Source organism: Homo sapiens, chromosome 5, assembly GCF_000001405.40.
Source record: "Homo sapiens chromosome 5, GRCh38.p14 Primary Assembly".
Lineage (NCBI taxonomy): Eukaryota > Metazoa > Chordata > Mammalia > Primates > Hominidae > Homo > Homo sapiens.
In genome coordinates this window covers 103,044,614-103,071,025 of record NC_000005.10, presented here as the reverse complement: position 1 = coordinate 103,071,025, position 26,412 = coordinate 103,044,614, and the positions used below count along the sequence as shown (strand labels likewise).

The 26,412-nt window shown below is 38.1% G+C and overlaps 1 long non-coding RNA gene across 1 annotated transcript; it reads left to right on the top strand.

Annotated features, from left to right (window-relative positions):
- Positions 1 to 25,395, top strand: LOC105379105 (uncharacterized). Its single transcript, XR_948633.2, has 4 exons — positions 1 to 106; positions 1,772 to 1,942; positions 11,930 to 12,053; positions 25,226 to 25,395. It is a non-coding gene; the product is annotated as an uncharacterized LOC105379105 (long non-coding RNA).
- Positions 25,396 to 26,412: the final 1,017 nt, after the last annotated feature.

Below are 26,412 nucleotides of genomic sequence, written 5' to 3'. Positions count from 1 at the left end.
AGGTACTGAAATAGGTATGTTGAAGGGATATCTACACTTCCATGGTCATTGCATCATTATTCACAATAGCCATGATATGGATCAACCTAAATGTCCACTAATGGAGGTATGGATAAAGAAAATGTGATATGTATGCATACAAAGGAATATTTTTTTCAGCCTTATATGTAAAATCTAAAAATGTTGAACTCAGAAGCAGAGAGTAGAATGGTGGTTCCCAGGGGTTGGGAGTGAGAGGAATGGGGAGGTATTAGTCAAAGAATACAAAGTTTCTGTCAGAATGAATAAATTCTAGAGAGCTAATGTACAGCATGGTGGCCATAGTTAATAATACTTTATTGTACATTTGAAATTTGATAAGAAAGTAGATCTTACGTGTTCCCACCACACAACCCACACAAAAGTTAATTATGTGAGGTGATGGATATGTTAATTAGCCTGATTATAATTACTTCACAATGTATACATACATTAAAATATCACAGTGTACATTCTGAATATTTATAATTTTTATTAATCAGTTTTACCTCAAAGCTGGGAAATACAGAAAGAGAAGTTATGAAATAAAATAATTCTAGATTCAACAGCAATTTATATGAGAAATAATAAAACAGCCATAGAAACTACTTTATGGTTATCTCAATTACTATTTATCCTAACAGCATTACATCCAGACCATTGATGATATTTATTTATGTCACTCCTGAATATTTTTATGAACTTTTTAAAAGTGAGCTTTATGGTAGATGAATTATGGCTTATAAAGCTGTTAGAGTCTAAACCACAGATTGGAAAAAATTAACTAGCCATACAGCCACCCTAATACCAAAGACAGGTAGGTAAGTGCAGCCCTACCATATTCCTGGAAGGAGAAGCAGAATATTAGTTGATAGCTTTAATAGCTGTCACACTCATCTTTTTCGTTTTCTTTTTTCTTTTTTTTTTTTGCAAATTCTGTTATAGGCAATTTATTATCAAAGTTCGTTTTACTTTTATTCCCTGATAAATAGCCAATATATGCCATTCAAAGAAATCGCTGATTTTATTACTGAAATTTCAGAATTCTAATGCAGAGATTCCAAATACAATTTTTACATTAACAAATATGCAGAGAAAACACTCAGAGATTTGTTGTTGTTGTTGTTCTCGTTTTTTGTTTTTTGAGATGGAGTTTCACTCTTGTCACCCAGGCTGGAGTGCAATGGCGTGTTCTCGGCTCACTGCAACCTCTGCCTCTGGGTTCAAGCAATTCTTTTGCCTCAGCTGGGATTACAGGCGCCTGCCACCACACCTAGCTAATTTTTTTGTATTTTTAGTAGAGACAGGGTTTCGCCATGTTGGCCTGGCTGGTCTCCGACTCCTGACCTCAGGTGATCCGCCTGCCTTGGCCTCCCAAAGTGCTGGGATTACAGATGTGAGCCACTGTGCCCAGCTGAGATTTTTATACATACAGTCTTTAGCTCTAATGTTTATGTTTGCAGTGCCCTGTCAAGAGTAAAAATGGAGGTTCACATACTGTATACCTGAATATTTAGGAGGTTTAAATCAAGCTAAGAAACTTTTCCTACCTCAGCAAATATACCTAAGGTTCCTAGGATTCTTGGACTCCTTAGAGCCCCACACTAGTGAATGGCAACTTAGGGAGAACTGGTCTCTGTCTCAATCCTGTTCCTTCCCAAGGATAAGTGACCCCAGCTTCTGTAGAGGTGCCCCTTGACCAGCCCAGGCCTTTTAGAATAAGCTTTCTCAATTGTTCATCCACCCTCTGTAGACAGACCAGGAAGGAGCTGAAAGAGGTTCTCCAGGTGAAGAAGAGTATATCTCAGGGCCCTGAGATCTTACCCAGCAGGGAGTGGCATGAGCTACAGGAGGATACAGCCTAGTTTTCAAGAAAAGGGTCCAGAATGGGATCCCTCTTGCCTGGATTTAAGGGAATTTTTCTGTAAGTATGTAACAAAATTTTGACCAAAAAAATCTAGAAATGTCTTTATGAGGTTTTGTATGACACCTTGTGGTACTGTTCAAAGCATTATATAGAAGGAAATGGAGATGCTGAACTATAGTAAATGAAGATTCTATTTTGAATGAGAATAATTTCCTTGTTTAAAAAGTTATTTTAAAATATGATTACCATTTCAAGTATAAAATCTTATTATATTACCATTAAAAAGAGTAACTCACTAAGATTTATAAAAGAAAACATATTACATTTTTAAACTATGCAATTCATTTATACATTCAAAGAAGATACACATTAAATGCCTACTATGTTCCAGATACTGGCACTGAGATTATATCAATTACAAATAAAAATTTCTGCCCTCCTAGAACTTATATTCTAGTAGAATAATGAAAAAGTGACCAGTAATTCTTAGGAATACATTTCTTCACCTACATCTAATCTGAAAATTTTACTTGTAGACTTTTGCACAGACATTTATTGGGATCCCTATCTTAAGCCGTAAAAAGCGTAAGTATTCCATTCTGCTGATTTTTGACTGCTCAGAAAGCTGTAACAGAATATTTTGCTCAAATGTCTAAAAGTGACTGAGTCACTTCCAGTTTTGGAGTTTCTAATCATTATAATTAATAAAAACCAAAATGTGCATTAAAAAAAGTAGTTTCAAACTTTTGTTTTATACAAATGCATTTATTATTGAGGGAGAAATGTTAGCTTTATGCATTGTTAATATTAAGCAGGGAAAGATTAGTTAAGTGCCATTAAATTAATAAGTATTTAAATTGGTAGCTTAACCAGAGCTTGAGGCCTGGGCCAGATGATTCTTCTACTTCTAATCTGTCGGTGTCCTCCTCACCCCTTCCCTTACTTGCTACCCCTATTAATGCTTCTTCCTTTGTTTCCCCAAGCACATTTTGTTTGTTAGTTAAAGAATATTAGGCCCAAGGGATTTCCCTTATCTGAGCACCTCATTGTCTAAACTTTGAAGGGATTTGTCAGAAGCAGACAGAGGAGAGCAAATTATTTGGCGTGGTTAGTAGCTGGAGGAGATCACATGTCAACTTCTCCCCTACATCCCCTCTAAGCTTCTATTAGTTCCGAGAGAAGAGGCCCCAGGTGTTGAAATGGAGAATGCGGAAAAGGCTAAAGAGTAGGGAGTCTGGATTCTCTTCACTTCTTCAGTAACACTTTCATATAGTGGTGGAGGGAAAAATACTAAATGGAATGGTTCCCTTCCTCCAAAATCATGTTTTCTGATTGCACAGTAATATATAACTTACACTCTCTGGGTTTCTGGGCAGTATTTTATCCTGCATTTTTTATATGTCCATTTAGAATTTCATCCTTATAAATATATACATATATTATTAATTTTTCAATTTTATGTGATGAATAAACAGTAATAAAATAATCATAGGGATGGTTTATGTGACTTGCTCACAGCTTGAAGCAAATCAGTGGCAAATCTGCCTAGGCTTTAAGAATAGAACTTAAGAGTCAGTCTTCCGTTAATCTGTACTGATCACAAATACGTTAAAAATCACAAATTTTGGCCAGGCACAGTGGCTCATTCCTGTAATCTTGGCACTTTGAGAGGCCAAGACAGGCAGATTACCTGAGCCCAGGAATTCGAGACCAGCCTGAGCAATGTGGCGAAACCCTATCTCTACGAAAAAGACAAAAAATTACCTGGGCATGGTGGCATGAGACTGTGGTCACAGCTACCTAGAGGCTGAGACGAGAGAATCACCTGAGTCCAGGAGGCTGAGGCTGCAGTGAGCTGTGATCGTGCCACTGCATTCCAGCTTGGGCAACAGAGTGAGACCCTGTCTCAAACAAAAAACAAATGAAAATCCCTGATTTTACTTGAGGTAGTTACAAAAGGGGTAATGTTTTTTAAAAATATATAATGTGAAAAAGGTATAATATCCTGAATATATAAAGAACTATGACTCAATACACAAAAAATAACTCAAGCCCTTTATTAGATATTCCCCCCAAAAAAGATGTACAAATGGTTGATAATCACATGAAAAGATGTTCAACATGATTAGTCATCAGGGAAATGCAAGTCAAAACCACTATGAGATACCACTTCACACCTACTAGAATGGCTATCATATCCTACAAAAAAAAAAAAAAGAAATATGACAAGTATTGCCTAGGATTGAAATCACCTTTATAGAATTGTAAGTGATGAGAGAAAACTGCATGACTCTGTTTTGCTTCTATCCTCACAGGTTAAATTGGTTTTTGCTTATTCTAGCACAGAGGCCAAGATAACCATGAGTGGAATTAGTTTGGTAGTTACACTTTGAGGCAAGGAAAAATGACTCCCTTCCTTGTTCAGAGATTGAAGCTGCATTCACGAGGCAAGGTTAGAATTATGATAGGAGCTTGAACTTTGCTAAAGAGTAAGCATAAACAATGACCTGCCATTGCTTAGCTTGCTTTGCTATAAGTTGCTTACTGCCCCAGAGTCACTTAACCAGAGGTTGCAAGATTTGTAACTTCCCCAACTACTCACATAGATAACATCACTATTGTGAAACTTAATTAACTGGTCTTTGAGGTATTCTTCAGATTTAGCATTTTGGCAGACCAAGAGACACCACCTAGTCCTGAGACTCTCTCCTGAGAACTGACTCAGCTGCACAAAGACAGCCCTGTCTCAATAACCCTGTGATTTCTTCCCCACCCAACCAATTATCTGAGTTCCTCAGCCCCCTACTTGTCAAAGCACCCTCAAAAACCCTAGCCTCGGCCAGGCACGGTGGCTCACCCCTGTAATCTCAGCACTTTGGGAGGCCGAGGCGGGCAGATCATGAGGTCAGGAGTTCAAGACCAGCCTGGCCAATATTGTGAAACCCCATCTCTACTAAAAATACAAAAATTAGCTGGGCGTGGTGGCATCCATCTGTAGTCCCAGCTACTCGGGAAGCTGAGGCAGAAGAATTGCTTGAACCTAGGAGGTGGAGGTTGCAGTGAGTCAAGATCATGCCACTGCACACCAGCTTGGGCAACAGAGCGAGACTTCACCTCAAAAAAAAAAAAAAAACCAAAAAAAAAAAAAAAAACCCCAAAAAACCCTAGCCCTCTAGCCTCTGAATTCTCAGCAGGGGCAGATTTGAGAATTATCTCATATTCTTCCATTTGGTTGGCCCTACGATAATTAAATTCTTTCTTTGCTCCAATACCTACTGTCCTCAGTACACTGGCTTTTCTAGGCAGTGGGCAAGATGAACCCATCGGGCTGTTACAGGATATGGAGAAATTGGAAACTCTCATGACTGATAGGAATTTAAAGTGGTGTGACAGCTATGGAAAACACTGCCAATTCCTCAAAAAGTTAAACAATTACCATATGATCCTGTAGTTCCGCTCCTAGATATGTATCCAAAGGAATTGAAAGTAGGGACTCAAACAGATATTTTTATGCCAATATTTATTGCATCATTATTCACAATAGCCAAAAGGTGGAAACAATTCAAGGATCCATCAATAGACGAATGGATTAACAAAATGTAGCATATACATACAATGAAAGATTATGCAACTATAGAAAGGAATGAAGTTGTGATACATGATACAACATGGATGAGCCTTGGAGATATTATGCTAAGTGAATAATAAATAAAAAGATATTGTATGATTCCGCTTATATAAAATATCTATAATAGGCAAATTTTTATAGACAAAAGTAGATTAGCAGTAATCAGGGGCAGAGGGAAAGGGAAGTGGGGAGTTAATCTTTAATGCATAAAGATTACAAAGTTTCTCTTTGAAGTAATGAAAAAGTTTTGGAAATAGATACTGGTGATGTTTGCATAATATTGTGAATGCAATTATGTCACAGAATTATATACTTTAAATGGTCAAAATGGTAAATTTTATGGTATGTATATTTTTACCACAATTTTAAAAAATTAATAATATAAGTACCCCAAACCATTGAATTGTGAGTGGATGAATCGGGTGGCATGTGAATTATATCTCAATAAAACTGCTTAAAAATTTTTGTAGGATGCAACTAAAACTGCTCAGAGAAAAATTTATGTATTTTGTGCTTATATTGGTTAAAAATAAAGGTCAAGAAGTAATGAGCAAAGCATCCAATTTAATATGGTACAAAAAGAACAAGTGAATAAGCCAAAAGAAAGATTTGAAATCACAAAGATAATAGAAATTAATAGAATAGAAAATAAACATACACGCCAGGCACAGTGGCTCACACTTGCAATCCCAGCACTGTGGGAGGCTAAGGCAGGCGGATCACCTGAGGTCAGGAGTTCAAGACCAGCCTGGCCGACATGGCGAAATCCCATCTCTACTAAAAATACAAAAAATTAGCTGGGCGTGGTGGAATGCACCTGTAGTCCCGGTTACTCAGACAGGCTGAGGCAGGAGAATTGTTTGAACCTGGGAGGCAGAGGTTGCAGTGAGCCGAGATCACACCACTGCACTCCAGCCTAGGTGACAGAGTGAGACTCCGTCTAAAAAAAAAAAAGAAAAAGAACAAGAGAAAAAAGAAAAGAAAAGAAAAGAAACATACAATGATGAGGTGAACTAGAGCCAAAATTTGGTTTTTAAAGACACAAATGAATTGACACAAAACTCGCAAAACTAATAAAAATAAAAATAAAGAGACAATCCTACAGAATTTATAAATAAGCAATATTGTGATGCAAAAAGTGTTATAACCACACATGATGCAGATACTTATAGAGGATATTACAACTTTATTCTAATAAACCTTAATAAAATTGATGAATTTTAGAAAAATTTCACTTACCAAAGAGGTTTAAGAAGAAATAATGTCAGATGATTTTACCAAACATTTATAACAAGATTTAAGAAGTATGTAATTTTAACTTTATGCAAATTATTCATAGTGTAGAAATGAAACATTTCTTAATTCATGTTATGAGGGTGGTGTAAACTTGATATCAAAATATGGAAATGACAGAATGAGGAAGGAAAATAACCGGTTTTTCTCTTGGGAACACAAATACAAAGATGCAAACAGAACAATATGCATTATAACCAAATTGAGCTGATTCCCAAAATGTCAGATTGATTTAATGTTAGAAAAGATATATACAATTAATGACTACATTTTTAAAGAGACCTGGCAAGAGAGAGATGAAGTACACAAATGGTTATAACTGAAGAGAATTTAAGGAACTGTTCAAAAGGAACAAACCAAGGATGGTAACTAGCAATAGCCAGAAACCTCTACACCTGAAGGAGGAAATACCAAGTGAGAGATAGAGTTATGGCAGAGAGTCTAACCATCCCAAAACAATAACAAGTTGTAACTGTGAAAATTAAAAATTACTGTCAAACCCGTGACCAATGGCATACCACCCTCCCATCTTCTACTATTGCCTCATTAGTCAGCGATCATGGGAAGCCAGAGCAAGGGGGCTTGGAAACACAGGCAGCCAAAAAAATCAGCCTCCTAGGGAACAGAGCAGAAAAGGACAGAGAATTAATTTGAGGTGGGTAAACTGAGAATAACTAGTAAAACTATATGTGTTCATATATATACAATTATCTCCTTGGCAAAAGTTTTCTGCAAAGAGCTAAACTAGGTAGTAAATATTTTCTGCTTTTGGGGCTATACACTCTTGGAAATACAAACTTCTGCCATTTTAGGATGAAAGCAGCCATATACTCAATAAATGAGTCTATTTTCCAATACAATTTTATTTACAAAAATACATAGTGGAGCTGGATTTGGCTTGTGGGGTAGTAGTTTGTGGACCCCTAATCTAGTAAAGGAGAAAAAGTATTTGCTGAACATTACTATTCATTGGAAATTTTTTTAAAAACTATAGTACACAATGGAGAATTCATTGAAAACATATTTTTAAAGGTAATGACAACTTACAACTGTTTTGGTACTGGAGCCTCTATTCAGCATATTAAGGCAAGAAAAAGGAAAAATCATTAGGATTAGAAAGAAAATTGGCCTTATTTGTTATAGGAATAATTGTTCACATAAAGAATTCCTATAAATATAAATAAGCTAATATTAAAATGGTCAAAAGTGTTGACTAGGTACCTCATAGAAAAGCCAAATTGCTCATGCATTTATCTGTTGTTTTGTTTTTTAAATTTATTATTATTATTATTATTGCCTCTATATACCTACCTGAGACTGGGTAATTTATAAAGGAAAGAGGTTTAATTGACTCATAGTTCTGCATGGCTTGGGAGGCCTCAGGAAACTTAAAACCATGGCAGAAGGGGAGCAAACATGTCCTTCTTGACATGATGGCAGGAAAGAGAAGTGAGCAAAAGGGGGAAGAGCCCCTTATAAAACCATTAGATCTTGTGAGAATTTACCCACTATCAAGAGAACAGCAGCATGGGGGTAATCATTCCCATGATTTAATTATCTCCCACTGGGTCCCTCCAATGACATGTGGAGACTATGGGAACTACAGTTCAAGATGAGATTTAGGTGGGGACACAACTAAACAATATCACCTACTTTATCCTGAATTCTGCACCAGGATCCTAGCCTCTGTGGAATACATCAGGAGGGTTCCAATACCCTCTGACTTCCAGTTGGGTTTGGCCAATGGCGATTCCCATTGATGTTTTAGCAGAAGATCAGGCAGGAGGAGAATGAAGTTGAGATAGTTCTTCTCCTTGTTTCCTTACTCCTTCTGCCTGTTTCTTTCAAATAAAAGTCCCTGCTCTACAAGTCTCTGTTCTGGGTTTTCCAGTAATTTCTCCCTCCACTCAGCCTTTTAGACCTGGAGGTGAAAACAGCTCTATGGCTGATATCCCTGGTTTCTCCTATACTACATGCACATCTTTGCATTTAGTCCCTTTGATTATCTTAATTTGTCATTTGTTGCCTGTTGGCATACAGGCAATAATAATATTTTTAAATGCCCAATCTCATTAGGAGCCAGAACATAGAAATAAAATAATTATTAGAGATCATTTAAAACCTACTAGGTTGGCAATAATAAAAGTATTAGAAAGGTTGTAGAGCAGACAGTACAATCATACAATACTGGTAAGTGTGTAAATTGATAGCACTATTTAAAAAACAATTTCACATTATACAGTAAAATCAAAGATGCACAAATCTATCTCTACTCCAGGAATTTTGCACAAGAAGTTATCTTCAAGAATGTTTATAGCAGGATTTTTTTGTACTAGCAAAACATTGACAACAACCTAGATAAGCAACAATGGACTAGATAACTTGTCATATATTCATATGATAAAGTAGTGATAGCAGTGAAATGAATAAATTACAGCTGCCAAAGGGAAGCATTAATGAATTCAGGAGCACAATGGAGAGCAGAAAACTAACTTACAGAAGAGGGTGATGTGTGAAAGTTTTGAAGAAAATGAAGGGAGGAGCCATGTGTATACCTGGGGGAAGAACATTTCAGGGGGAAGAAACAGCAAGTTTAAAGATGCTGAAGTGTTTCTGGGTCTGGTATTTTTGACCAAAAGCATGGGGCCCAGCAAACTTAGAACGGAGTAAGAGGGAGTATGATAGGAATCAGAGAGGAAAGGGGATAGAGTAAATTGTTTCAAGCCTCATAGGCCATTGTATGGGCTCTGTTTTCAGTCTGAGTAAAATGGAAACCATCTGGAGGTACTTGAGAAGAGTGATGTGATTGATCTGCTCCATGTTTTAAGGAAATCAGTCTAGCAGCTGGGAAGGGAACAGACTGATAAAAGGCAATGGAGCACTAGTTAGAAGGCTGTTGCTAATAATTCAGGTAAGAGATGATGATGGCATCAATACCAATGGAAGTGATGAGAAATAGTTAGTATCTGTTACATTTTGAAGCTAGATTATACAGAATTTGCTAACATATTGGATGTAGGGATTTAGAGGAAGAGAAGCATCTATGATTACTCCAAACATTTTTGACTTACATAACTAGAAGGGTGGAGTTGCTGATAACTAAGTTGAGGAAGACTGGGAGAAGCAGGTTTGAGGAGGAAAAGGGGAGTTCAGTTCTTAACATTGAGTTTGAGATGCTTATTACACATCTAAGTGCATCTGTTGAATAGTCATTTGGATATAGGATCTGGACTTCAGGAGTTAGGAATTCAGCATTCATTTATGCACAGTTTAAAACTCTGAAAAAAAGAAAGACCCACTGCAAAAGCAAAAACAAAACAAAAAAACAAATAAAAAAACCCCTTGAGTTAATATGTGTCCCTTTAGGGAGGCTAAGACATTTTCTTGGCTACAAAGATCTGCACTTGTCCTTCATCTGCCACATTTGTGGTTAATAATTGCTAGGTAGTGATTTAAAGTTTCTCGTGATTTATTATACATACTAAATGGCATTATTTACATTCCTTGGCAGAACAAAGAGAGGCTCAAGTACGTTTCCTAACTTTATGAATGATGGCAGTGGAGCATTCTGCTTCCTGCCCCTTTCTGATGGATATAGCTGATGCTAACACATTAAAGGGACCACAGATAAAGCAGACAAGTTCTCAAGAATCTCATTGTCATCTCGCAGTGAAAACTGAATGTGGTAGAACAGGTCTCTGCAGTAACTTGTTTGCAATCACATATTACTTTGTCTTTTCCAATGAACTTACAACCCAGTGTAATTTATATAGAATATGTCAAGTTGGTCAAATATCACTTTTCTATTTTCACCTTAATTTGCAATTTGAAAACTGGAGAGAAGAGAACTTTTTTCTTCAGAATAAGAATCACAAGTTATTTGGAATATTTTCTATTCCACCCCACAAAGGAGGTTATTAGCCTTTAATTCTAAATCTTTCTTTGATTTCCTGGAGTGAATAATATTAATAGAACTTAAAAATCTTAGCATTGCATGTAATTTTTACTAAGACACCTGAATTATCAAGGTCATTGAGACACAGGGCTTTGCTGAAGCAATATGTCATTTCAGTTCACTCCAAGCAGAGGAAGTTGTGTTTGGTTCTAGTAGAGGATATGAGTGTTATTCCAACTGTAATGAATGACTGGAAGATCATATGTGTCACTGGGGAATACCGTGAGCATTTAAGACAGCAAAGCAGCAGAAAATAGGATGTTTTCTGATCTCTACTCACTCATAATTTAGCTCTTTCTATGGCTAGATTCACATCTTTCCCCTCTGGGAGGCCTTCTGTCCTTTCTTTAGGTTTTTAATCTCAAAGACTGCGGCTCCCTGAGCTGAGAAAGTTAAGGTTTGGAGCAGGGTTATCCTTGGCAAGGAGCAGCACCAGGCAGGGAAATTATACATGGACAGACTTCCACACACAACACAACAAAAGCTTTGCCATGTCTGTGGGCCTCTCCCTAAGCAGAGAAGTCAGTGTTGAGGGACACCTTCAGGAAGGTGGTAGAGCTGACCTAAGCAGGATATATACAGTGTGTTTTAACAGATATGAAACTAGGGAATTACCTTAGTGAGACCCTACATAGTAGTAGGAATAGTTCAGTATTTGGACGAGCCATGACTCAATTGTGGAAGCCATGAATGCATTTCCGTATGGCCTTACTGTGGCAGGGAGTTATCAGGCCTTTGGGACAGACAATTATTTACCTGAAGATGATAGCACAGTTGTGTTTTGTTTTTACAAAATGCTTTATTGAGGTGTAATTCACATTCCATAAAATTAACTCATCTAAAGTGAAAAGTCAGTGGTTTGTAGTATTCACAGAGTTATGAAAGAATTACCACAATCTAATTTTAGGACATTTTCTCACCTCAAAAAGAAATCCCATACCCATTAGCAGCCTCTCACCATCCACTTCAGCCCTAAGAAACACCAATATATTTTCTGTCTCTACAGACATTGCATCTATTGGCCCTTTCATATAAATGGAATCATACAATCTGTGGCCCTGGAGTCATTCTGAACCTATTCCAGTCCTGGGAGCTGCCTGATTTGCAAATTGTTCTTTGCTCAATTACACTGCTAAATTTAATTTGTCTAAGATTTTTCTTTTAACAGGTTGTATCAGAAGTGGGATTCAAAGTAGAGGTTCCAGTGACTGCCAGGAGCTTCAAGTGACCAAATGAGCTAACTTCTGGACCCATTGCATCCATTGCTCTCACACAACCACTGAAGATTGTGGGTAAGTTTTCTCTCTAATTCCAAATCTCCATGGATGTGTGTTTTAAGCTATCTCACTTTGAGCAAATTTTTGACCTGGACTGAGTTTGCAAGTTGTGACAGAAACTCAACTAGGTCCATGATCAAATTAGATCCGATAACTAACTAGATTGAATCCAGTTAGAAGCTTCAGATGTCTGGGTCAGACAGAAATTGTCATTAAATGACAATTACTGCAGGAGGGACAGACTTCAGCTTTCAGAAATTCACAGGGAATTTATGTTCTTTTTTTTTTTTGTACACTGAAGTAGGAAACAGTTATTGGCAAAGTTATTAGAACCAAAGCCAAGATTCTGTGAAAATGGGATTCTTAATTTCTGAAGAACTGAGTACTCCACCTTTCTGGCTGCACTTACCTTTTACATGGACTGTATAAATATTAGACCCCCAAAACAACAAATGCTTACAAAAATGACAAAATCATACCAAAGATAATTTAAAATTATGGTAAACATTCTAAGTGAACAACACTACATTTTAAGAAATGCATTTAAAAATGAAGCCTCCCGAATTAGGCTTACTCAGGGATGTCTATTGATATGCAGAAGCTTCTAAGAAGATTTCAAAATTTCTCTTGCCTCTTTTAGAAGAGACTTTACAAAAAAAGCAAATAAAAAGCTTAAATGGTTCATTGATAGGGAAAGTTGTGTCTGATAACCTTTTGGTTTAGTTATGTTACTGGAAAGTGGTCCTGATTCGGACCTCAGAGAGAGTTCTTGGATCTCAAATAAGAAAGAATTCAGAGTGAGTCCACAGTGCAAAGTGAAAGCAAGTTTATTAAGAAAGTAAAGGAATAAAGAATGGCTGGCTACTCCATGGGCAGAGCAGCAGCATGGGCTGCTGGTTGCCTATTTTTATGATTTTTTTAAAATTATGTGTGATATGGTTTGGCTGTGTCCCCACCCAAATCTCATCTTGAATTCTCGTGTGTTGTGGAAGGGACCTGGTGGGAGGAGATTGAATCATGCGAGCAGGTCTTTTCCATGGTGTTCTTGTGATGGTGGGTGAGTCTCACGAGATCTGATGGTTTTGTAAGAAGGGGTTTCTCTGCACAAGCTCTCTGTTTGCCTGCTGCCATCTGTAAGATGTGACTTGCTCCTCCTTGCCTTCCACCATGATTGTGAGGCTTCCCCAGCCATGTGGAACTATAAGTCCCTTAAACCTCCTTCTTTTGTAAATTGCCTAGTCTCGGGTATGTCTTTATCAGCAGCATGGAAATGTGCTAAACAAGGGGTAGATTATTCATGAGTTTTCCAGGAAAGGGATGGGCAATTCCTGGAGCTGTGGGTTCCTCCCTTTTTTTAGACCATATAGGGTAACTTTCTGACATTGCCATGACATTTGTAAACCGTTGTGGTGCTGGTGGGAGTGTAGCAGTGAGGACAACCAGAGATCACTCTCATTGCCATCTTGGTTTTGGTAGGTTTTAGCCAGCTTCTTTACTGCAACCTGTTTTATCAACAAGGTCTTTATGACCTGTATCTTGTGTCAACCTCCTCCTATCTCATCTTGTGACTAAGAATGACTCAACCTCTTGGGAATGCAGCCTAGTAGTTCTCAGCTTCATTTTACCCAGCCCCCATTCAAGATGGTGTAGCTCTCGTTCAGATGTCTCTGACAAGTTACTCTTACTCCCTGAAGGTGAAACGAGAACTGCATAAAATATAAAAAGGTGGTCCATCAGGTAAAGTAGGCTTACTTCTTTTTCTGAGATATCCATGCTTTAGTCCAGGCATAGAGAATGCTTTTTTTTTGTTCTAGTCTTTAATGTGCTCTACCTTGAACTCAGTAAGACCACCTATTAAACTAATTCGATTTCCGAAATACTTTTGTGTCAGTTAGCTGGCTATTTTGAAACCCTCTTGTAAAATAAATTTACAACAATATAGGAAATCTCCATTTGTAAGGGTATCTCCTTCATTCACTGGGAAGAGAGACTGAGTCATTAGAAACTCTCACAATGGAAAAGACATTGGTTTAAATTTATATAATAAACTTTACTCTGTTTAAGGTGCTTTTCCAGTGTCTTCGCTGGTCCTGTGCCTTACACCCTCCTTCTTTGCTTTGGGCAAATTTAGGCCACAAGTAGAAAGCTGTTGGGGGAAAGATGAATGGGGCCTTAAAAAAAGAATGGGTGATGGTTTGTGAAAAAGTCCATCTGGGTGTGATGAAGTCTCCTCTCCAGCAGTAAAAGTTGATCTTTCCTGGTTGCTGGAACTCCCAAGGGAGAAGATGATTGACAACTGAGCTCCTGTGGAAAATGTCTTTAGGAAAATGTTCTTGAGTTCCTGTCTTTAGGCTGGTCACAGAGGCTCGTGCCTGTAATCCTAGCACTTTGGGAGGCCAAGGCAGGTGGATTGCCTGAGCTCAGGAGTTCAAGACCACCCCGGGCAGCATGGTGAAATCCCGTCTCTATGAAAAATACAAAAATTAGCCAGGCGTGGTAGCAGGTGCGTATAATCTCAGCTACTCGGGAGGCTTGAACCCTGGAGACAGAGGTTGCAGTGAGCTGAGATTGTGCCACTGCACTCCAGCCTGAGTGACAGAGTGAGACTCTGTCTCCAAAAACAAAACAAAACAAAAAAACAGAAATTCTGTCTTTAGACAGATAAGAAGAATTCATAAAACCTCACTGATTACATATTGGTAACAATAATATACTAAAGCAACATATTTTCAAGTGATATTTTCTGAACTCTTTCAATGTCTGCTTTGTTCAATGAGAAATTCAAGCATAATTGTTAAGAATGAGTAAACTAGGTTAACATAAACAGCACAAAAATATGTAAATAAACGTCATAGTTTCAAAAATTTTTTCCAGCAATTTAAAACCTTAAAGTTCAAGGAGAACTACAAACCACTGCTCAATGAAATAAAAGAGGATACAAACAAATGGAAGAACATTCCATGCTCATGGATAAGAAGAATCAATATTGTGAAAATGGCCATACTGCCCAAGGTAATTTATAGATTCAATGTCATCCCCATCAAGCTACCAACGACTTTCTTCACAGAATTGGAAAGAACTACTTTAAAGTTCATATGGAACCAAAAAAGACCCCGCATCGCCAAGTCGATCCTAAGCCGAAAGAACAAAGCTGGAGGCATCACACTACCTGACTTCAAACTATACTACAAGGCTACAGTAACCAAAACAGCATGGTACTGTTACCGAAACAGAGATACAGACCAATGGAACAGAACGGAGCCCTCAGATGTAATACCACACATCTACAACTATCTGATCTTTGACAAACCTGACAAAAACAAGAAATGGGGAAAGAATTCCCTATTTAACATATGGTGCTGGGAAAACTGGCTAGCCATATGTAGAAAGCTGACACTGGATCCCTTCCTTACACCTTATACAAAAATCAATTCAAGATGGATTAAAGACTTAAATGTTAGACCTAAAACCATAAAAACCCTAGAAGAAAACCTAGGCAATACCATTCAGTACATAGGCATGGGCAAGGACTTCGTGTCTAAAACACCAAAAGCAATGGCAACAAAAGCCAAAATGGACAAATGGGATCTAATGAAACTAAAGAGCTTCTGCACAACAAAAGAAACTACCATCAGAGTGAACAGGCAACCTACAGAATGGGAGAAAAGTTTTGCAATCTACTCATCTGACAAAGGGCTAATATCCAGAATCTACAAAGAACTCAAACAAATTTACAAGAAAAAAACCAAACAACCCCATCAACAAATGGGCAAAGAATATGAACAGACACTTCTCAAAAGAAGACATTTATGCAGCCAAAAAACACATGAAAAAATGCTCATCCTCACTGACCATCAGAGAAATGCAAATCCAAACCACAATGAGATACCATCTCACACCAGTTAGAATGGCGATCATTTAAAAAGTCAGGAAACAACAGGTGCTGGAGAGGATATGGAGAAAGAGGAACACTTTTACACTGTTGGTGGGACTGTAAACTAGTTCAACCATTGTGGAAGACAGTGTGGCGATTCCTCAGGGATCTAGAACTAGAAATACCATTTGACCCAGCCATCCCATTACTGGGTATATACCCAAAGGACTATAAATCATGCTGCTATAAAGACACATGCACATGTATGTTTATAGCCGCACTATTCACAATAGCAAAGACTTGGAACCAACCCAAATGTCCAACAATGATAGACTGGATTAAGAAAATGTGGCACATATACACCATGGAATACTATGCAGCCATAAAAAATGATGAGTTCATGTCCTTTGTAGGGACATGGATGAAGCTGGAAACCATCATTCTCAGCAAACTATTGCAAGGACAAAAAACCAAACACTGCATGTTCTCACTCATAGGTGGGAACTGAACAATGAGAACACCTGGACACAGGAAGGGGAACATCACACAGCGGGGCCTGTTGTGGAGGTGGGGGTTGGGGGGAGGGATAGCATTTGGAGATATACCTAATGTTAAATGACGAGTTACTGGGTGCAGCACACCAACATGACACATGTATACATATGTAACTAACCTGCACGTTGTGCACATGTACGCTAGAACTTAAAGTATAATAAAAATATATATAAATAAAATAAAATAAAACCTTAAAGTTAAGTCCTCATAATAAATCTGAGTCATTTCTAAATTAAAATATGGAAACATTTATTATTAATCATAAGTTTAAGTTTATGTACTTCAATATCTTGTTTTTGTATAATACAGAGAAACTAAATATATTTGGATCTGTTAATAAATATAAAAAATTGAGGAAATAGAGATTTCTAAAAACTATAAAATGATTTTCATCTATAACTACTAAAATGAAATAAGATAATTCAAAACTACTTACAACCTAGGTTTTTCACTGGAAATTGAAGTTACTAAGAGCTAAAATTTTAATTAATGTAGGTAATTAAAACTACTAATAATAAGTGAAACAATTCTGTATGCAAAGCGTACAAAAAACACCATATTTTTTGGTGAGAATGGTAATAATAAGGAAAGCATGAAAATGTAATTTTTGTTTAAAAAAAGTGATTTTTATCTAGTTTAGAGGTTATTTAAAGGTTGTTTCAAAACGGAGGAACAAAGAAAGAAATGATATAGACAAAATTGAATGGATACAAAAACTTTTTTAAAAAAGAAAGAAAAAGAGTAAAAGAAAATCTTGTATGGTTAAACTAAGATTGAATGAATTAATTAGGGTTAATATCAAGAGTACACTAATACAAAACTAAAATTTGGTTTCCTCTTTTAAACAATATTTTTGTGTATTATTAATAAGAAAGAGTAACTTTTTTTTTACCCTTCGAGTAAACAAAAAAATAGTAATAATAATAATAATAACAATAGGGGGCAGAGAGGAGATAGGAACAGATTTTTTGTGTCTCATGCTGTCTTTATTAGGTCTTTTGATTATTTAGAAAACGGAGTCTCCTCTCTCAAAGAGTAATGGTTTTTGATTTTTAAAATGTTTTAATTATCACCTTGGCAAAATGAATAACTATTATTTTACAGTGACTTGTAATCCTATTTTGATCAAGTGTTTTGAACTTTTGACATATTTGATAGGCTTTCTAAAATCAAATTTCAAAATGAAAATTAATTCTTTTTGACTTAAAACTGACTTTGGGATGTTCCAGAGGGCCCTTGAAGCATATGAAAGAGAAAATAAATAGACATATTTGATACGTTAAATTATCTGAGAAGCATTGTCAGATAAGAAATGATGCCTAATCTTCTGAGTTATATTTTTCTAGATATGTTATTAATGTGTTCCAATATTATATTGAATTTCTAAAACTCTGATATGTCTTTGTATGTGCTATCAGTTATAATTATGGTTATTATGTTAAATTATTGTAGGCCACAGAAATAGTCAAATTTTCTTATGAATTGTGTCATTAACCATGACCATTTTAAGCCTTTATTGACCACAGTTAAATGCTTAATTCTGATGCTTTTTCTGAAACCTCTTTGTAAGCAAGTATAATCCTAATGTGTTGTATCTTCAAGGAGGTTCATGGAAAGAATGGAAAGGACATTAACAAGTACAGGTTTCTGGGAATTCTTACCCAGTCAATGCTATTGAAATGGGTAAGAATTCCCAGAACTCCAGTGAAGAGACTAGCTTATAAAACTGTTAACCCAAGAAGGACAATAATTAATTGAATACTGAGAAAATACTTTGGTAGATTTCCTTTTTTTTTTTTTTTATTATACTTTAAGTTTTAGGGTACATGTGCACATTGTGCAGGTTAGTTACATATGTATACATGTGTCATGCTGGTGCGCTGCACCCACTAACTCGTCATCTAGCATTAGGTATATGTCCCAATGCTATCCCTCCCCCCTCCCCCCACCCCACCACAGTCCCCAGAATGTGATATTCCCCTTCCTGTGTCCATGTGATCTCATTGTTCAATTCCCACCTATGAGTGAGAATATGCGGTGTTTGGTTTTTTGTTCTTGCGATAGTTTACGGAGAATGATGATTTCCAATCTCATCCATGTCCCTACAAAGGACATGAACTCATCATTTTTTATGGCTGCATAGTATTCCATGGTGTATATGTGCCACATTTTCTTAATCCAGTCTATCATTGTTGGACATTTGGGTTGGTTCCAAGTCTTTGCTATTGTGAATAGTGCCGCAATAAACATACGTGTGCATGTGTCTTTATAGCAGCGTGATTTATAGTCCTTTGGGTATATACCCAGTAATGGGATGGCTGGGTCAAATGGTATTTCTAGTTCTAGATCCCTGAGGAATCACCACACTGACTTCCACAATGATTGAACTAGTTTACAGTCCCACCAACACTGTAAAAGTGTTCCTATTTCTCCACATCCTCTCCAGCACCTGTTGTTTCCTGACTTTTTAATGATCGCCATTCTAACTGGTGTGAGATGGTATCTCATTGTGGTTTGGATTTGCATTTCTCTGATGGCCAGTGATGATGAGCATTTTTTCATGTGTTTTTTGGCTGCATAAATGTTTTCTTTTGAGAAGTGTCTGTTCATGTCCTTTGCCCACTTTTTGATGGGGTTGTTTGTTTTTTTCTTGTAAATTTGTTTGAGTTCATTGTAGATTCTGGATATTAGCCCTTTGTCAGATGAGTAGGTTGCGAAAATTTTCTCCCATTTTGTAGGTTGCCTGTTCACTCTGATGGTAGTTTCTTTTGCTGTGCAGAAGCTCTTTAGTTTCATTAGATCCCATTTGTCCATTTTGGCTTTTGTTGCCATTTCTTTTGGTGTTTTGGACATGAAGTCCTTGCCCATGCCTATGTCCTGAATGGTAATGCCTAGGTTTTCTTCCAGAGTTTTTATGGTTTTACGTCTAACATTTAAGTCTTTAATCCATCTTGAATTGATTTTTGTATAAGGTGTAAGGAAGGGATCCAGTTTCAGCTTTCTCCATATGGCTAGCCAGTTTTCCCAGCACCATTTATTAAATAGGGAATCCTTTCCCCATTTCTTGTTTTTCTCAGGTTTGTCAAAGATCAGATAGTTGTAGATATGCGGCGTTATTTCTGAGGGCTCTGTTCTGTTCCATTGATCTATATCTCTGTTTTGGTACCAGTACCATGCTGTTTTGGTTACTGTAGCCTTGTAGTATAGTTTGAAGTCAGGTAGTGTGATGCCTCCAGCTTTGTTCTTTTGGCTTAGGATTGACTTGGCGATGCGGGCTGTTTCTTGGTTCCATATGAACTTTAAAGTATTTTTTTCCAATTCTGTGAAGAAAGGCATTGGTAGCTTGATGGGGATGACATTGAATCTGTATATTACCTTGGGCAGTAGGGCCATTTTCACGATATTGATTCTTCCTACCCATGAGCATGGAATGTTCTTCCATTTATTTGTATCCTCTTTTATTTCCTTGAGCAGTGGTTTGTAGTTCTCCTTGAAGAAGTCCTTCACATCCCTTGTAAGTTGGATTCCTAGCTATTTTATTCTCTTTGAAGCAATTGTGAATGGGAGTTCACTCATGATTTGGCTCTCTGTTTGTCTGTTGTTGGTGTATAAGAATGCTTGTGATTTTTGTACATTGATTTTGTATCCTGAGACTTTGCTGAAGTTGCTTATCAGCTTAAGGAGATTTGGGGCTGAGACAATGGGGTTTTCCAGATATACAATCATGTCATCTGCAAACAGGGACAATTTGACTTCCTCTTTTCCTAATTGAATACCCTTTATTTCCTTCTCCTGCCTAATTGCCCTGGCCAGAACTTCCAACACTATGTTGAATAGGAGTGGTGAGAGAGGGCATCCCTGTCTTGTGCCAGTTTTCAAAGGGAATGCTTCCAGTTTTTGCCCATTCAGTATGATATTGGCTGTGGGTTTGTCATAGATAGCTCTTATTATTTTGAAATAGGTCCCATCAATACCTAATTTATTGAGAGTTTTTAGCATGAAGGGTTGTTGAATTTTGTCAAAGGCTTTTTCTGCATCTATTGAGATAATCATGTGGTTTTTGTCTTTGGCTCTGTTTATATGCTGGATTACATTTATTGATTTGCGTATATTGAACCAGCCTTGCATCCCAGGGATGAAGCCCACTCGATCATGGTGGATAAGCTTTTTGATGTGCTGCTGGATTCGTTTTGCCAGAATTTTATGAGGATTTTTGCATCAATGTTCATCAAGGATATTGTTCTAAAATTCTCTTTTTTGGTTGTGTCTCTGCCAGGCTTTGGTATCAGAATGATGCTGGCCTCATAAAATGAGTTAGGGAGGATTCCCTCTTTTTCTATTGATTGGAATAGTTTCAGAAGGAATGGTACCAGTTCCTCCTTATACCTCTGGTAGAATTCGGCTGTGAATCCATCTGGTCCTGGACTCTTTTTGGTTGGTAAACTATTGATTATTGCCACAATTTCAGGTCCTGTTATTGGTCTATTCAGAGATTCAACTTCTTCCTGGTTTAGTCTTGGGAGAGTGTATGTGTCAAGGAATTTATCCATTTCTTCTAGATTTTCTAGTTTATTTGTGTAGGGGTGTTTGTAGTATTCTCTGATGGTAGTTTGTATTTCTGTGGGATCGGTGGTGATATCCCCTTTATCATTTTTTATTGTGTCTATTTGATTCATCTCTCTTTCTTTCTTTATTAGTCTTCCTAGCAGTCTATCAATTTTGTTGATCCTTTCAAAAAACCAGCTCCTGGATTCATTAATTTTTTGAAGGGTTTTTTGTGTCTCTATTTCCTTCAGTTCTGCTCTGATTTTAGTTATTTCTTGCCTTCTGCTAGCTTTTGAATGTGTTTGCTCTTGCTTTTCTAGTTCTTTTAATTGTGATGTTAGGGTGTCAATTTTGGATCTTTCCTGCTTTCTCTTGTGGGCATTTAGTGCTATAAATTTCCCTCTACACACTGCTTTGAATGCATCCCAGAGATTCTGGTATGTTGTGTGTTTGTTCTCGTTGGTTTCAAAGAACATCTTTATTTCTGCCTTCGTTTCGTTATTTATCCAGTAGTCATTCAGGAGCAGGTTGTTCAGTTTCCATGTAGTTGAGCGGTTTTGAGTGAGATTCTTAATCCTGAGTTCTAGTTTGATTGCACTGTGGTCTGAGAGATAGTTTGTTATAATGTCTGTTCTTTTACATTTGCTGAGGAGAGCTTTACTTCCAAGTATGTGGTCGATTTTGGAATAGGTGTGGTGTGGTGTTGAAAAAAATGTATATTCTGTTGATTTGGGGTGGAGAGTTCTGTAGATGTTTATTAGGTCTGCTTGGTGCAGAGCTGAGTTCAATTCCTGGGTATCCTTGTTGACTTTCTGTCTCGTTGATCTGTCTAATATTGACAGTGGGGTGTTAAAGTCCCCCATTATTAATGTGTGGGAGTCTAAGTCTCTTTGTAGGTCACTCAGGACTTGCTTTATGAATCTGGGTGCTCCTGTATTGGGTGCATATATATTTAGGATAGTTAGCTCTTCTTGTTGAATTGATCCCTTTACCATTATGTAATGGCCTTCTTTGTCTCTTTTGATCTTTGTTGGTTTAAAGTCTGTTTTATCAGAGACTAGGATTGCAACCCCTGCCTTTTTTTGTTTTCCATTTGCTTGGTAGATCTTCCTCCATCCCTTTATTTTGAGCCTATGTGTGTCTCTGCACGTGAGATGGGTTTCCTGAATATGGCACACTGATGGGTCTTGACTCTTTATCCAATTTGCCAGTCTGTGTCTTTTAATTGGAGCATTTAGTCCATTTACATTTAAAGTTAATATTGTTATGTGTGAATTTGATCCTGTCATTATGATGTTAGCTGGTGATTTTGCTCGTTAGTTGATGCAGTTTCTTCCTAGTCTCGATGGTCTTTATATTTTGGCATGATTTTGCAGCGGCTGGTACCGGTTGTTCCTTTCCATGTTTAGTGCTTCCTTCAGGAGCTCTTTTAGGGCAGGCCTGGTGGTGACAAAATCTCTCAGCATTTGCTTGTCTGTAAAGTATTTTATTTCTCCTTCACTTATGAAGCTTAGTTTGGCTGGATATGAAATTCTGGGTTTAAAATTCTTTTCTTTAAGAATGTTGAATATTGGCCCCCACTCTCTTCTGGCTTGTAGGGTTTCTGCCGAGAGATCCGCTGTTAGTCTGATGGGCTTCCCTTTGAGGGTAACCCGACCTTTCTCTCTGGCTGCCCTTAACATTTTTTCCTTTATTTCAACTTTGGTGAATCTGACAATTATGTGTCTTAGAGTTGCTCTTCTCGAGGAGTATCTCTGTGGCGTTCTCTGTATTTCCTGAATCTGAATGTTGGCCTGCCTTGCTAGATTGGGGAAGTTCTCCTGGATAATATCCTGCAGAGTGTTTTCCAACTTGGTTCCATTCTCCCCATCACTTTCAGGTACACCAATCAGACGTAGATTTGGTCTTTTCACATAGTCCCATATTTCTTGGAGGCTTTGCTCATTTCTTTTTATTCTTTTTTCTCTAAACTTCCCTTCTCGCTTCATTTCATTTATTTCATCTTCCATTGCTGATACCCTTCCTTCCAGTTGATCACATTGGCTCCTGAGGCTTCTGTGTTCTTCACGTAGTTCTCGAGCCTTGGTTTTCATCTCCATCAGCTCCTTTAAGCACTTCTCTGTATTGGTTATTCTAGTTATACATTCTTGTAAATTTTTTTCAAAGTTTTCAACTTCCTTGCCTTTGGTTTGAATGTCCTCCCGTAGCTCAGAGTAATTTGATCGTCTGAAGCCTTCTTCTCTCAGCTCGTCAAAGTCATTCTCCATCCAGCTTTGTTCCATTGGTGGTGAGGAACTGCGTTCCTTTGGAGGAGGAGAGGCACTCTGCGTTTTAGAGTTTCCAGTTTTTCTGTTCTGTTTTTTCCCCATCTTTGTGGTTTTATCTATTTTTGGCCTTTGATGATGGTGATGTACAGATGGGTTTTTGGTGTGGATGTCCTTTCTGTTTGTTAGTTTTCCTTCTAACATACAGGACCCTCAGCTGCAGGTCTGTTGGAATACCCTGCCGTGTGAGGTGTCAGTGTGTCCCTGCTGGGGGTGCCTCCCAGTTAGGCTGCTCAGGGGTCAGGGGTCAGGGACCCACTTGAGGAGGCAGTCTGCTGGTTCTCAGATCTCCAGCTGCGTGCTGGGAGAACCACTGCTCTCTTCAAAGCTGTCAGACAGGGACATTTAAGTCTGCAGAGGTTACTGCTGTCTTTTTGTTTGTCTGTGCCCTGCCCCGAGAGGTGGAGCCTACAGAGGCAAGCAGGCCTCCTTGAGCTGTGGTGGGCTCCACCTAGTTCGAGCTTCCTGGCTGCTTTGTTTACCTAAGCAAGCCTGGGCAATGGCGGGCGCCCCTCCCCCAGCCTGGCTGCCGCCTTGCAGTTTGATCTCAGACTGCTGTGCTAGCATCAGCGAGACTCCGTGGGCGTAGGACCCTCTGAGCCAGGTGCGGGATATAATCTCGTGGTGTGCAGTTTTTTAAGCAGGTCCGAAAAGCGCAATATTTCGGTGGGAGTGACCAGATTTTCCACGTGCGTCCATCACCCCTTTCTTTGACTCGGAAAGGGAACTCCCTGACCCCTTGCGCTTCCCAAGTGAGGCAATGCCTCGCCCTGCTTGGGCTCGCGCACGGTGCGTGCACCCACTGACCCACGCCCACTGTCTGGCACTCCCTAGTGAGATGAACCCGGTACCTCAGATGAAAATGCAGAAATCACCCGTCTTCTGCGTTGCTCACGCTGGGAGCTGTAGACAGGAGCTGTTCCTATTTGGCCATCTTCGTGTTTGTCCGGTAGATTTTCATGCTACATCATCTAGAACTGAATTTGTTAAGATATGCAATTTGAATGAACTCCATGATCCAAGTCAGATTACCTATAATAACTCATTTAATAAACAGTGCTATGCACCTGAATTGGAGAAATAAAATTTGTACTTAAGAGGATATAAGTCCAATGTTAAATGTAGACTCATGGAGAGCCTGGATGAACACCTGGTCCTTGCTGACTCTTTAAAGCTTCCATTATTAAAAGCTCTGCACTCTATGCCTCATCATGGAAGAGATAAAATGGCCCAAATTATGAAAAAAATATTGGTGTATTGACTGCCCTAAAATTTCTAAAATGATTTATGACCAATGTTTGGTTTCTCAAACCCACAGTCCTGGGAAGACAGTCAAACTTCAGGTACATTTCTGCTACCCGATGAGCCATTTGAACATTTATAAGAGGATTTCATTCAATTGCTATTTTCAGTGCTCATTTTCTGGTTGTATAGAAGCTTTCCTCTACAGGAAGGCTGATGTTACAACAGTAGCTAGAAGATTATTAGAATATTTGTTTTCTTTACGGGGCATTCTTGGAGAAATCTCCTGTGATAGAGCTACTCACTTCACCGGGCAAGTTGTAAAACATTTAAATATATTACAAATACAATAGCATTTGTCAAAGCTAAGTGAATCTACTGGATTGCCTTTGTCAAGGTGTTGCGAATTAGTGACGATCAGATCCATTTCCAGTGGAAAATGTATTAAAATCAAGCTGACTTTTTATGAAATAGTGACTGGAACGTCTATGACCCTAAAAATAGCACATCGTATATCTCCTGCTCCTAAACTCTGACATGACTAAATGCTGCAAGACTTCAGTGTTTTTTATCCAAGTGTATTTTCATGGGTAGAGGAAGTTTTCATAATCCACTGACTGCAGACAATCAAACCCTTTTCAATCTAGAATCCAGAGAGTCTGTATCTTCTGGAAATGACATCAGAGAAAGACTGCCCTTGTGACCCACATTGCAGCAAAACTTTGGGACCTTAAACTTGGGTCCACATTTCATAACTCAAACAGACCCCTCAAGACTCTTGGAACTATATACCCATTGGAGACCTTAACATAAACATAACAAGGTAAGTTTCTCCCAGGATGCAGATGGCATCCTAGATGTGGACAGCTTTTCCAAGATCACAAATCAAGACTTCCCTGTCATCATGAAACTCTTACTTTTCTTAGTTGTGTTGTGTTTTGTTTTGTTTTGTTTTACTTATGCCTACCTCTTTCACTTGGCAGAATAATGCTGGAAGTAAAATTTCACAATCAATAGCTTTTGTGGGCAACTTGATGGGGTATTGAATTTGCCTTGCTAAACTCAGATCTTTACATAACCTAAAGGATCCTTTGGTTAACCCATTGGGTAACTTTGGCAACATCCCAACATAACTTGTTCAAATTGTACTAGTGGTAAGATTTCTAGTCCACTTGTTCTCACTTTAACTCAATAATGAAATGCAAGAACCAGAACCAATGAGCATATCACAAGATAGACTTGCACCAAAAGCCTAAATGGAGTTTATTACAAATTGACTTATGTGCCAGGGACTTTTATGCTTTTTTAGCCTGTAATAACTCCACCCCAGACTCTGTTGAGAAACAGCTAACTTCACCATTGCAGGTAATGTATCACTGAAAATAAAACCAGAAAAGGGGCTTTGTGTGCACCCATGGGGTATACTTTTATTTGTGGTGCATTTTACAGTGAATCTTATACATGGGCAAACATATGTCTTGATATATGGAAAACAAAGGGACAAAGTGGGCCAGGAATTTTATTTTTTATTTTCATTTTTTGAGATGTGGTCTTGTTCTGTCACCCAGGCTGGGGTGCAGGGCATGATCATGGTTCACCACAGCCTTCACCTCCCAGATTCAAGCAATCTTCTTGCATCAGCCTCCCAATTAGCTGGGACTACAGGTGTGCACCACCATGCCTGAATTTTTAAATATTTTTCTGTAGAGACGGTGTCTCCCTATGTTGCTCAGGCTGATCTCAAACTCCTCGACTTAAGTGATCCTCCTGCCTTGCCTCCCAAAGTGCTGAGATTACAGGCATGAGCCACCATGCCTGGCCTGGGCTTGGAATT